At 41.0% G+C, this 13,047-nt stretch overlaps 1 protein-coding gene and 1 pseudogene across 16 annotated transcripts in view, besides 1 other annotated feature; one reads left to right on the forward strand and one right to left on the reverse strand.

Moving 5' to 3' along the window:
• The window catches only part of ADAMTSL1 (ADAMTS like 1), a 1,004,318-nt gene that overhangs the window by 799,478 nt on the left and 191,793 nt on the right, over positions 1-13,047 (forward strand). For all 16 annotated transcript variants that reach the window (XM_011518064.4, XM_017015312.3, XM_011518063.3 and 13 more), the window contains one exon: positions 637-938. In XM_011518064.4, coding sequence (XP_011516366.1) covers positions 637-938 — 302 coding nt within the window. The remainder of the gene's footprint in view (positions 1-636; positions 939-13,047) is intronic.
• Positions 5,433-6,018: an enhancer, noted in NCBI's record as "H3K27ac-H3K4me1 hESC enhancer chr9:18711541-18712126 (GRCh37/hg19 assembly coordinates)". NCBI's record gives its function as "activates a minimal SCP1, AML or CMV promoter by ChIP-STARR-seq in naive H9 embryonic stem cells {active_cell/tissue: H9 hESC(naive)}" and the evidence as "EXISTENCE:reporter gene assay evidence [ECO:0000049][PMID:30033119]".
• RAP1BP1 (RAP1B pseudogene 1) lies at positions 11,801-12,582 on the reverse strand (annotated as a pseudogene).

The raw sequence follows: 13,047 nt of genomic DNA on the forward strand, positions 1-13,047 counted from the left end.
TGCTAAACTAGGGGTAGATTATTCATGAGTTTTCCAGGAAAGGAATGGAGAATTCCTGGAATTGAGGATCCTCCCCTTTTCAGACCATATAGGGTAACTTCCAGACATTGCTACGGCATTTGTAAACTGTCGTGGCACTGGTGGGAGTGTCTTTTAGTATGTGAATGTATTATAATTAGTGTATAATGAACAATAAGGACAACCAGAGCTTGCTTTCATTGCCATCTTGGTTTGACAGGATCTGGCCGGCTTCTTTCCAGCATCCTATTTTATTAGTGGGGTCTTATAAAACAAATTCCTATCTCATTGGAATTTAGAGTGAGGAGAAGAAACCACCAATTCCCTGCTTGGAAGAGCTACCACTGTGGGTGCAAAGTAGGGAGCAAGCAGGTGGTCTCTGGAATGTCTTGCAGCTGGGAGTTCATGTGACATTCATGAAGCAAGCAACCCAGAAACAGTGGCAAAATCGCTTATGAACTAAACTGAAGCGCCATCACAGGACAGGGTGGAGGAGCCCTGAGTACCCCTGGGACAGCTCTGGGCACTGGAGGCAGGTGGGATGCAGCCCCTCACAGCCCCCATGGCTTCCTGCCTGGGGCTTCTCATCCTGTCCTCTTGTTTGCTTGCCGACTGCAGGTTCATCCCAGAGGCCTGGTCGGCCTGCACAGTCACCTGTGGTGTGGGGACCCAGGTGCGAATAGTCAGGTGCCAGGTGCTCCTGTCTTTCTCTCAGTCCGTGGCTGACCTGCCTATTGACGAGTGTGAAGGGCCCAAGCCAGCATCCCAGCGTGCCTGTTATGCAGGCCCATGCAGCGGGGAAATTCCTGAGTTCAACCCAGACGAGACAGATGGGCTCTTTGGTGGCCTGCAGGATTTCGACGAGCTGTATGACTGGGAGTATGAGGGGTTCACCAAGTGCTCCGAGTCCTGTGGAGGAGGTAAGAAAGGGGGCTCTGGCTCAGATCCCCGCCATCTTCTTGCTCATTTTCTCTCTCTGCATGCAGCTGGATCATGTGACTGCCTCAAATCCAAGAATGATAAGCAGGAGGAGGAGGGGAGGCAGCCATTCTAAATGTAAAGCACACTGAATCAAACACAGATGTATTTGTCTCTTGGCTCCAGTGGCTCTCAGACTGTCAGCTGTGAGTGGCCAGTACAACAAATGCTTTGGCTTTCAGTTGTCATTCTGATGTCTTGCAACATATCATCGTGTATCTGGCTGAGAAACACAGTTGACACTGACCTGGCCGTGCTCTCAACATTGTTTTTTTGATCTCTGCCCTTGCCTCAGTGCATGCAATGTGAACCAAGACCCAAGAACAAGTCGGAGTCCCTCCGATGTACTCAGCTGATTTCCCAAAGTAATATCTGTTTACATCTCGAGGAAGGGTGTCTAAAAGGTAATTGATACAGTGGTTACCTGGAGCTGGAAAGGAGTTTAAAGTTCAAAGTCTGACCCCACCCCCATCTTACAGATGAGAAAACTAAGAATCAAAGAAACAAAGTGATTTGTTCAAGATCATACAGCTGGTGAGCGACAGAGCTGGGACTAGAACAAAGCTTTCCTTTCTCTGCCTGGAGCCTTTCCATCATACCACACTTTTTTAAGCAGCTAGAGAATTCTTGAAGCTTTCTCATTATGAATATCAGTTAACTCACGTTAAATGTTTCCACATATATCCATCTGGTTCTCCTTGGTGTATTCCATGGTGATAGAACAGTAGATTCAGTGATTCTTTCAGATGTTATGAACAGGATTGTAGTGGCAGAGGAAGGCATTGAAATCAACAACTGATTCTTCAAGATTACGAACTTTCTTCCCACACTAAAAATACGGTAGATTCATATTGACACCATCTCCTATATCTACTCCCAAGAGAAATTTTAATAGATGAGGGAGCGCCAGCTGATTTCTTGCCAGATCTTTCCCTGGCTATTAGTAACCCCTTTGAGCATGTTGAGATTCTGTTTTCTCAGCAAAGATTCTTAATAACCGGTGGAAAAAAGCACTAAAATGATTTCCCAAAACTGTTTTCTAAACCATGATATTTTGGAAACTTTGAAAAGGCATCTTTTGTCATGATTGAGAACGTAAGAATAAATGCACCACACTGTTCACATGTAGTTGAAAAGGAATGAATAGTGGAACAAGTACTAGCAAAGAATCAATTTTCTCCAGCAGGTCTTTTAGTAAGCATTTAATAGTGCTGACCTTGAGGTTCTTGTTTGTTTCCACATCTTCCAGTTTCAAACCCTGGAATTCTGAAGTGTTTTAATGGAGAGCCCTGGTATGTTAAAACCTAAATTCTTCCAAATGATTCCGGAAGACAGTTTCCTGGAACTCAGTGAATGTAACTGTGTTCATATGGGACTCTTCACTCATTTTGAGAACGTCTTTTCTTTCACGCTTAATGAGAGAGAAGTGTTAAATAAGCTTTGGTGATCTCTGGAGCCTGGGCAGGAGCTGAGAGATCAGGTAGAAAGGCTGTTAGCCAGCGGCTACAGTTGCTTCTTTCCAACATAGCAGATGACTCAGCATTCAGATGGTTGTGCTTTCATCCCCAATTTCCATGATCACCTGAATTGAATGATCATTATTTCTAGTCTAAGACAAATGTGCTTTAAAAAATTATTTATGGTCTCTCAGTTATAGTTCTCAGTTACAAGTCAAGCCTGGAATTTTATGAACAGATGGAAAAAATAGATACAGTAATGGAATATCTAAATAACCAGATACCTTTTTCTTTAAGAGTCTAACCATTCTGCTGACCAACCAAGGGTATAAAATTTGAAGTGTCGAGTGTATGTGGAGTGTATTTAATTTAAAATGTTTTTAGAAGATACTGATTTAGAAATAAGATTTGGATGTTTGAGATACAATTGATCTCTACCTATAGAAGCTAAGTGTTTTTATATAACGTAAATTGTACATCCTTTATATCCAAAGCAGGGTAAAGTTACTGAAATCTCTTAGGTCTTTAAATGTCAACAACTGAACCTACTTACCTTCAGTTATGTCACTGTGCCAAGGTAATATATTTAAGCCTAAAAAGTTAGAGTCGAAAATTCCAAAGTGATGAAAATATGCTTGGGTTATATGGTCCATATGATGCCCATATGCACTAAAATTTATTTTGGTATATAGGACGTGTATATTTTCAAGTCTTTGTTCGACAGTAACATTTTACTGTATTATCAACTTTGATCTTTCACCAAAATGTCACCCACAAGGTTATATATATTTTTAATTATTTCTTCTGAAGCCAACCAAAAATCTGCAGGATTAACAAATAGATTTTAAATCAATTTTGGGTTGTAGAGCCAGTCAGGCTAATTTTATTGTTTTTGTAATCTCAAGAGATGAAATTGGATAGACAGAAAAGTAACCTTTCACCTAGCAGAGGTAGCAACCAGAAGGAACTAGTTAGTAATTTAGTCTGTAGTTGGTGGCTGTGTTTCCCTGAGCTGTCATCAAATATCATGTAACAATTATACTATTCTGGGAGATATAAACACTGAAAATCCCATTTTCTGGAAGATCGAACGCAAGCCTAACCTGCTCAGATCTGTATCCTGTGTCCAACTGTCACTTCCTTGTTAGATTTTAATTTCCCACATGTGAACTGATAGGTGTTATCAAGGAAAACAACTCTGAGCCTGATCAGCTTTATTGTATTGAACTCCTAGACAGTAAAATCCACGTTAAAATCTAGCTGGGGGAATACTTGACATTGACTTCAGCAAAAATGGAAGATGAAGCCTTGTACCTGTTGTTCCCCTTTTCTTACAAGTCCTCTCTACTTTTTGCTTCTGTCAAGAAAGGAAAACCCAGAATCATCAAGTACTGTGCTTAAACATGTTCTCTGTCGGTTTACAGTGTCCTCCTGAGAGCATATATTAGCTCTTTTGGAAAGAGCACAAACTTGATGAGCTAACTTCTCACATCGTGCCTGCCTCCCATGGGCCAACTCTACTGTGAACTCCAAGGTGAAGCCCTTAGAGTTTTTCCCTCCTCCAGCTTCCCACACTCCCAGTTCCAGGGCGGCTCTGTCACTCCAGGTTCATGCTCCCCAGGCAACCCATTCCCACCTCCCCTCAGCCTCAATTGCATGCTGTGCTTAGAATGCCCTGCCCTTTAGCCATTGCATTTGTTCATCCTACAAAAATGTATTGAGTGTTGACCACAGGGCTGGCCCAAGATACTCCTTAATTATGACAGAACTTCTGTCCTTAGTTTCACCCACCACACTGGGCTCCACCTAAGAAGGATGAGGCAAGTGGTCCCTGTGATAACAGAGATTTAACACACAGCACTGGGGAGGCCTAGAGCCTTGTTTTAGAATACTTCAGATTAGAATGTAGTAACTCTGGACTGCTTCTTAGTCTCAGCACTTCATCACCCCATGGGTTATTTTAATCTTTCAGCTATGATTATTGGTTTGGAGTTATGTAAATTTGTGTTTGACAAACCTAAGAGAGGAGATTATTGGTGTCTTTCTAGAAATGTAGCCCTTACTTTCCCCATTCCTTGCAGTCTTAGAAGGGCCTAAGTTTTGTTTTGTTTTTTTTTTTTTTTTTTTACAAAATTGAACTATTTTAATTAAGGGTTTTAGTTTACATTTGGCCACCTCAAAGTAGTTGTAACATTGGGTTGGTCAATTTAAATACTGTGGCTCCTTGTTGGATGGACACAATCTTTACATCCAAACGTTAATGCATACAAAGCAACATGGCATTGTTAAACAAAACAGCAATACTTACTGAATATTGGGCCTTGTGACCAATTCCATATGATTAAAATTACTTCCCACATTCACACCCACAGTACTCGTCCACCATTTAAAATCTCAACCAAAACGTTACACATATGAAACAATCACTAACAGGCAAAAATACTAAACCTGTATATTTAGTATTGCAGATACACTTATGCATGAGCAAGGAAGCAATTCACAGTGATGATCTACAGCTGCAGAAGCCTGAAAATGATTTACAAAAATTGTTACATCATTAAAAAATTGTTTGAAAATATACATTTCTTGTTGTAGGCACCCACTGTATACATGACTATAAACATTGTTCCTTATGTAAACAGAAAAGGAAACATATAATAAGAAATTTCAGGCAAGGAGCCAAGATGGCCGAATAGGAACAGCTCCGATCTACAGCTCCCAGCGTGAGCTACGCAGAAGACGGGTGATTTCTGCATTTCCATCTGAGGTACTGGGTTCATCTCACTAGGGAGTGCCAGACAGTGGGCGCAGGTCAGTGGGTGAGCACACCGTGCGCGAGCCGAAGCAGGGCGAGGCATTGCCTCACTCGGGAAGCGCAAGGGGTCAGGGAGTTCCCTTTCCTAGTCAAAGAAAGGGGTGACAGACGGCACCTGGAAAATCGGGTCACTCCCACCCAAATACTGCGCTTTTCCGACGGGCTTAAAAAACGGTGCAACAGGAGATTATATCCCGCACCTGGCTCGGAGGGTCCTACGCCCACGGAGTCTCGCTGATTGCTAGCACAGCAATCTGAGATCAAACTGCAAGGTGGCAGCGAGGCTGGGGGAGGGGCGCCCGCCATTGCCCAGGCTTGCTTAGGTAAACAAAGCAGCTGGGAAGCTCGAACTGGGTGGAGCCCACCACAGCTCAAGGAGGCCTGCCTGCCTCTGTAGGCTCCACCTCTGGGGGCAGGGCACAGACAAACAAAAAGACAGCAGTAACCTCTGCAGACTTAAATGTCCCTGTCTGACAGCTTTGAAGAGAGCAGTGGTTCTCCCAGCATGCAGCTGGAGATCTGAGAACGGGCAGACTGCCTCCTCAAGTGGGTCCCTGACCCCTGACCCCCAAGCAGCCTAACTGGGAGGCACCCCCCAGCAGGGGCAGACTGACACCTCACACGGCCGGGTACTCCAACAGACCTGCAGCTGAGGGTCCTGTCTGTTAGAAGGAAAACTAACAAACAGAAAGGACATCCACACCAAAAACCCATCTGTACATCACCATCATCAAAGACCAAAAGTAGATAAAACCACAAAGATGGGGAAAAAAACAGAACAGAAAAACTGGAAACTCTAAAAAGCAGAGCGCCTCTCCTCCTCCAAAGGATCACAGTTCCTCACCAGCAACGGAACAAAGCTGGACGGAGAATGACTTTGATGAGCTGAGAGAAGAAGGCTTCAGACAATCAAATTACTCCGAGCTATGGGAGGACATTCAAACCAAAGGCAAAGAAGTTGAAAACTTTGAAAAAAGATTTAGAAGAATGTATAACTAGAATAACCAATACAGAGAAGTGCTTAAAGGAGCTGATGGAGCTGAAAACCAAGGCTCCAGAACTACGTGAAGAATGCAGAAGCCTCAGGAGCCGATGCGATCAACTGGAAGAAAGGGTATCAGCGATGGAAGATGAAATGAATGAAATGAAGCGAGAAGGGAAGTTTAGAGAAGAAAGAATCAAAAGAAATGAGCAAAGCCTCCAAGAAATATGGGACTATGTGAAAAGACCAAATCTATGTCTGATTGGTGTACCTGAAAGTGACGGGGAGAATGGAACCAAGTTGGAAAACACTCTGCAGGATATTATCCAGGAGAACTTCCCCAATTTAGCAAGGCAGGCCAACATTCAGATTCAGGAAATACAGAGAACGCCACAAAGATACTCCTCGAGAAGAATAACTCCAAGACACATAATTGTCAGATTCACCAACATTGAAATGAAGGAAAAAATGTTAAGGGCAGCCAGAGAGAAAGGTCGGGTTACCCTCAAAGGGAAGCCCATCAGACTAACAGCGGATCTCTCGGCAGAAACCCTACAAGCCAGAAGAGAGTGGGGGCCAATATTCAACATTCTTAAAGAAAAGAATTTTCAACCCAGAATTTCATATCCAGCCAAACTAAGCTTCATAAATGAAGAAGAAATAAAATACTTTACAGACAAGCAAATGCTGAGAGATTTTGTCACCACCAGGCCTGCCCTAAAAGAGCTCCTGAAGGAAGCGCTAAACATGGAAAGGAACAACCGGTACCAGCCGCTGCAAAATCATGCCAAAATGTAAAGACCATCGAGACTGGGAAGAAACTGCATCAACTAATGAGCAAAATAACCAGCTAACATCATAATGACAGGATCATATTCACACATAACAATATTAACTTTAAATGTCAATGGACTAAATGCTCCAATTAAAAGACACAGACTGGCAAATTGGATAAAGAGTCAAGACCCATCAGTGTGCAGTATTCAGGAAACCCATCTCACGTGCAGAGACACACATAGGCTCAAAATAAAAGGATGGAGGAAGATCTACCAAGCAAGTGGAAAACAAAAAAGGCAGGGGTTGCAATCCTAGTCTCTGATAAAACAGACTTTAAACCAACAAAGATCAAAAGAGACAAAGAAGGCCATTACATAATAGTAAAGGGATCAATTCAACAAGAAGAGCTAACTATCCTAAATATATATGCACCCAATACAGGAGCACCCAGATTCATAAAGCAAGTCCTGAGTGACCTACAAAGAGACTTAGACTCCCACACAATAATAATGGGAGACTTTAACACCCCACTGTCAACATTAGACGGATCAACAAGACAGAAAGTCGACAAGGATACCCAGGAATTGAACTCAGCTCTGCACCAAGCGGACCTAATAGACATCTACAGAACTCTCCACCCCAAATCAACAGAATGTACATTTTTTTCAGCACCACACCACACCTATTCCAAAATTGACCACATACTGGGAAGTAAAGCTCTCCTCAGCAAATGTAAAAGAACAGAAATTATAACAAACTATCTCTCAGACCACAGTGCAATCAAACTAGAACTCAGGATTAAGAATCTCACTCAAAACTGCTCAACTACATGGAAACTGAACAACCTGCTCCTGAATGACTACTGGGTACATAACGAAATGAAGGCAGAAATAAAGATGTTCTTTGAAACCAATGAGAACAAAGACACAACATACCAGAATCTCTGGGACACATTCAAGGCAGTGTGTAGAGGGAAATTTATAGCACTAAATGCCCACAAGAGAAAGCACAAAAGATCCAAAATTGACACCCTAACATCACAATTAAAAGAACTAGAGAAGCAAGAGCAAACACATTCAAAAGCTAGCAGAAGGCAAGAAATAACTAAAATCAGAGCAGAACTGAAGGAAATAGAGACACAAAAAACCCTTCAAAAAATTAATGAATCCAGGAGCTGGTTTTTTGAAAGGATCAACAAAATTGATAGACCGCTAGCAAGACTAATAAAGAAAAAAAGAAGAATCAAATAGATGCAATAAAAAATGATAAAGGGGATATCACCACCGATCCCACAGAAATACAAAGTACCATCAGAGAATACTACAAACACCTCTATGCAAATAAACTAGAAAATCTAGAAGAAATGGATAAATTCCTCAACACATACACTCTCCCAAGACTAAACCAGGAAGAAGTTGAATCTCTGAAGATAGACCAATAACAGGATCTGAAATTGTGGCAATAATCAATAGCTTACCAACCAAAAAGAGTCCAGAACCAGATGGATTCACAGCCGAATTCTACCAGAGGTACAAGGAGGAACTGGTACCATTCCTTCTGAAACTATTCCAATCAATAGAAAAAGAGGGAATCCTCCCTAACTCATTTGATGAGGCCAGTATCATACTGATACCAAAGCCGGGCAGAGACACAACCAAAAGAGAGAATTTTAGACCAATATCCTTGATGAACATTGATGCAAAAATCCTCAGTAAAATACTGGCAAACCAAATCCAGCAGCACATCAAAAAGCTTATCCACCATGATCAAGTGGGCTTCATCCCTGGGATGCAAGGCTGGTTCAATATATGCAAATCAATAAATGTAATCCAGCATATAAACAGAACCAAAGACAAAAACAACATGATTATCTCAATAGATGCAGAAAAGGCCTTTGACAAAATTCATGCTAAAAACTCTCAATAAATTAGGTATTGATTGGACGTATTTCAAAATAATAAGAGCTATCTATGACAAACCCACAGCCAATATCATACTGAATGGGCAAAAACTGGAAGCATTCCCTTTGAAAACTGGCACAAGACAGGGATGCCCTCTCTCACCACTCCTATTCAACATAGTGTTGGAAGTTCTGGCCAGGGCAATTAGGCAGGAGAAGGAAATAAAGGGTATTCAATTAGGAAAAGAGGAAGTCAAATTATCCCTGTTTGAAGATGACATGATTGTATATCTAGAAATCCCCATTGTCTCAGCCCAAAATCTCCTTAAGCTGATAAGCAACTTCAGCAGTCTCAGGATACAAAATCAATGTACAAAAATCGCAAGCATTCTTATACACCAACAACAGACAAACAGAGAGCCAAATCATGCGTGAACTCCCATTCACAATTGCTTCAAAGAGGATAAAATACCTAGGAATCCAACTTACAAGGGATGTGAAGGACCTCTTCAAAGAGAACTACAAACCACTACTCAAGGAAATAAAAGAGGATACAAACAAATGGAAGAACATTCCATGCTCATGGGTAGGAAGAATCAATATCATGAAAATGGCCATACTGCCCAAGGTAATTTATAGTTTCAATGCCATCCCCATCAAGCTACCAATGACTTTCTTCACAGAATTGGAAAAAACTACTTTAAAGTTCATATGGAACCAAAAAAGAGCCCACATTGCCCAGTCAATCCTAAGCCAAAAGAACAAAGCTGGAGGCATCACACTACCTGACTTCAAGCCATACTACAAGGCTACAGTAACCAAAACAGCATGGTACTGGTACCAAAACTGAGATATAGATCAATGGAACAGAACAGAGCCCTCAGAAATAACGCCGCATATCTACAACTATCTGATCTTTGAAAAACCTGAGAAAAACAAGCAATGGGGAAAGGATTCCCTATTTAATAAATGGTGCTGGGAAAACTGGCTAGCCATATGTAGAAAGCTGAAACTGGATCCCTTCCTTACACCTTATACAAAAATCAATTCAAGATGGATTAAAGACTTAAACGTTAGACCTAAAACCGTAAAAACCCTAGAGGAAAACCTAGGCATTACCATTCAGGACATAGGCATGGGCAAGGACTTCATGTCTAAAACACCAAAAGCAATGGCAACAAAAGCCAGAATTGACAAATGGGATCTAATTAAACTAAAGAGCTTCTGCACAGCAAAAGAAACTACCAGCAGAGTGAACAGGCAACCTACAAAATGGGAGAAAATTTTCGCAACCTACTCATCTGACAAAGGGCTAATATCCAGAATCTACAATGAACTCAAACAAATTTACAAGAAAAAAACAAACAACCCCATCAGAAAGTGGGCAAAGGACATGAACACAGACTTCTCAAAAGAAGACATTTATGCAGCCAAAAACCACGTGAAAAAATGCTCACCATCACTGGCCATCAGAGAAATGCAAATCAAAACCACAATGAGATACCATCTCACACCAGTTAGAATGGCAATCATTAAAATGTCAGGAAACAATAGGTGCTGGAGAGGATGTGGAGAAATAGAAACACTTTTACACTGTTGGTGGGACTGTAAACTAGTTCAACCATTGTGGAAGTCAGTGTGGCGATTCCTCAGGGATCTAGAACTAGAAATACCATTTGATCCAGCCATCCCATTACTGGGTATATACCCAAAGGACTATAAATCATGCTGCTATAAAGACACATGCACACATATGTTTATTGCGGCATTATTCACAATAGCAAAGACTTGGAACCAACCCAAATGTCCAACAATGATAGACTGGATTAAGAAAATGTGGCACATATACACCATGGAATACTATGCAGCCATAAAAAATGATGAGTTCATGTCCTTTGTAGGGACATGGATGAAATTGGAAATCATCATTCTCAGTAAACTATCGCAAGAACAAAAAACCAAACCGCATATTCTCACTCATAGGTGGGAATTGAACAATGAGAACACATGGACACAGGAAGGGAACATCACACTCTGGGGACTGTGGTGGGGTGGGGGGACGGGGGAGGGATAGCATTGGGAGATATACCTAATGCCAGATGACAAGTTAGTGGGTACAGCGCACCAGCATGGCACATGTATACCTATGTAACTAACCTGCACATTGTGCACATGTACCCTAAAACTTAAAGTATAATAATAATAATAATAATAATAAATAAAATAAAATAAAATAAAAATTTTAAAAAAATAAAAAATAAAGAAATTTGAAAAGTCTGCCCATTTCCTTCCCAACAGATATTAAAGGCAATCTGTTGAAGACATTATACTGAAAGGACTATCATATTTTAAAGACAAGATCACTGTCTCCATAGGTTTTTGAAACATTTTTAAAAACTATATAGCTGTATTAATTAGAGCACTTATTTTCTACAATAATAGTGACCTTAAATTTCTTTAAAAAAATTACAATAAGCTACAAGTATCAAAGAAGCAAAGTCATCTAGAGTAGTCTACATAGGAGCTCTTTGGACTTTGTTTTATTATGGTAAAATAGTGGTGCTTTTAGGATTTACATTATTGTACTCTCCAATACAAAGTATGAGTGAGGGTTAGAGTATACAGTACACCATTTTCATACATGTACAACGTGGGTGGATGAAGAATGTCTCTTAGCAGTAATACTGGATGTAGTCTCTGCTTTTACCAGCTGCATAATCTAGGACTATTATATAAGTAAAAATCTCTCTTGTGAAGCTTGAAAGTGATTAGAATGTGCAAACTGATATAGTAGCTTTCATATGCTCTTAAAGGGTACCACCACAGGAAAGTCCATTTAAGATGCTGGTAGGTTTAACAAAGTTGGAGTGTTGGCACTATTGAATTGGACAACAGTTCTTCAGAGCTGACTCAGAGCTGCAATGCACTTAGTACATTAAAGCAGCTGACATGATGACTTTTTGCGAGCCTTCCCAGGCACTGGAGTTTTTCTGTTAATCTGCCGCACTAGGTCATAAAAGATCTCATTAACATTTATTTTGAATTTTGTAGAAGAATCTAAGAATGCACAGTTGTTCCATTGTCTTGCTAGATTTTTGACCTTCTTCCTTCCCTACAGCTCTTTCATCTTCCAAGTCATACTTATTACCAACAAGAATCATTGGAACATCATCAGTGTCTTTAACTCAAAGAATCTGTTCTCTCAAGTCTTGCAAATCATTAAATGTGGACTGTGCTTTGATGGAATAAACTAATGCAAAGCCTTGTCCATTTCTCATGTACAAATCCCTCCTTGCTATACATTGTTCCGTTCCTGCAGTATCCAAGATTGCAAGCATACACTGCTGTGCATCTACTTCAACTTGCTTTCTATAAGAATCTTCTATCATAGGACATATTTTTCAACAAAAATTCCTTGAACAAATTGTACATTCAAAGCAGACTTTCCAACGCCTCCTGGGCCAAGAATGACTAGCTTATACTCATGCATGATGCAAACTTGTCGAAACCTAGTACCTCTCACGCTGTCACCGGGTTCCCGCAGCCAGTGTCACTCCCTCCGGGTTGCTACTCTCGGCACCACAGCAGTCCTGCCGCTGCCGCCGCCGCTCCAGCTGGTTTACACACCTGACTCTGGGCGAGGTTTGGCATTGTCCAGAAGGGCCTAAGTTCTATCAAGAAGGAGTTCACAAAGTGGAAACACAGGTCACATCACTTACACACCTTCACACACACACCTGATCCAGTCACTTTCAAGTAAAGCATGTGACAAGCCCACGGTCACTTCCTGCCTCAGGATCGTTGACCCAATTTCATAAGGTTTTCAACAGCTGAATAAAGGCAAAATATGTTTTATTTTAGAGTCTCATTTAGAATCTCTTGAATACTACCAAACAGGTAAATGAGTTAAAAATTTAATTTCTAAGATAACCACAGCTCTAGATTCTGTATGGGATAGAAAGCTACATCCAGTGACTTCTCATCACTACCTTAATAATACTAGACTATTCCAGTGGGAAGTATCAGTGATTATATCAACTGTTTCTTATGAAGTGTTTGGCTGTGTCGTCATACCATGAATTTCAAATGGCTCATCCCATCTACAACCAAGAGAACACCC

Source organism: Homo sapiens, chromosome 9 (genome assembly GCF_000001405.40).
Source record: "Homo sapiens chromosome 9, GRCh38.p14 Primary Assembly".
Taxonomy (NCBI): domain Eukaryota; kingdom Metazoa; phylum Chordata; class Mammalia; order Primates; family Hominidae; genus Homo; species Homo sapiens.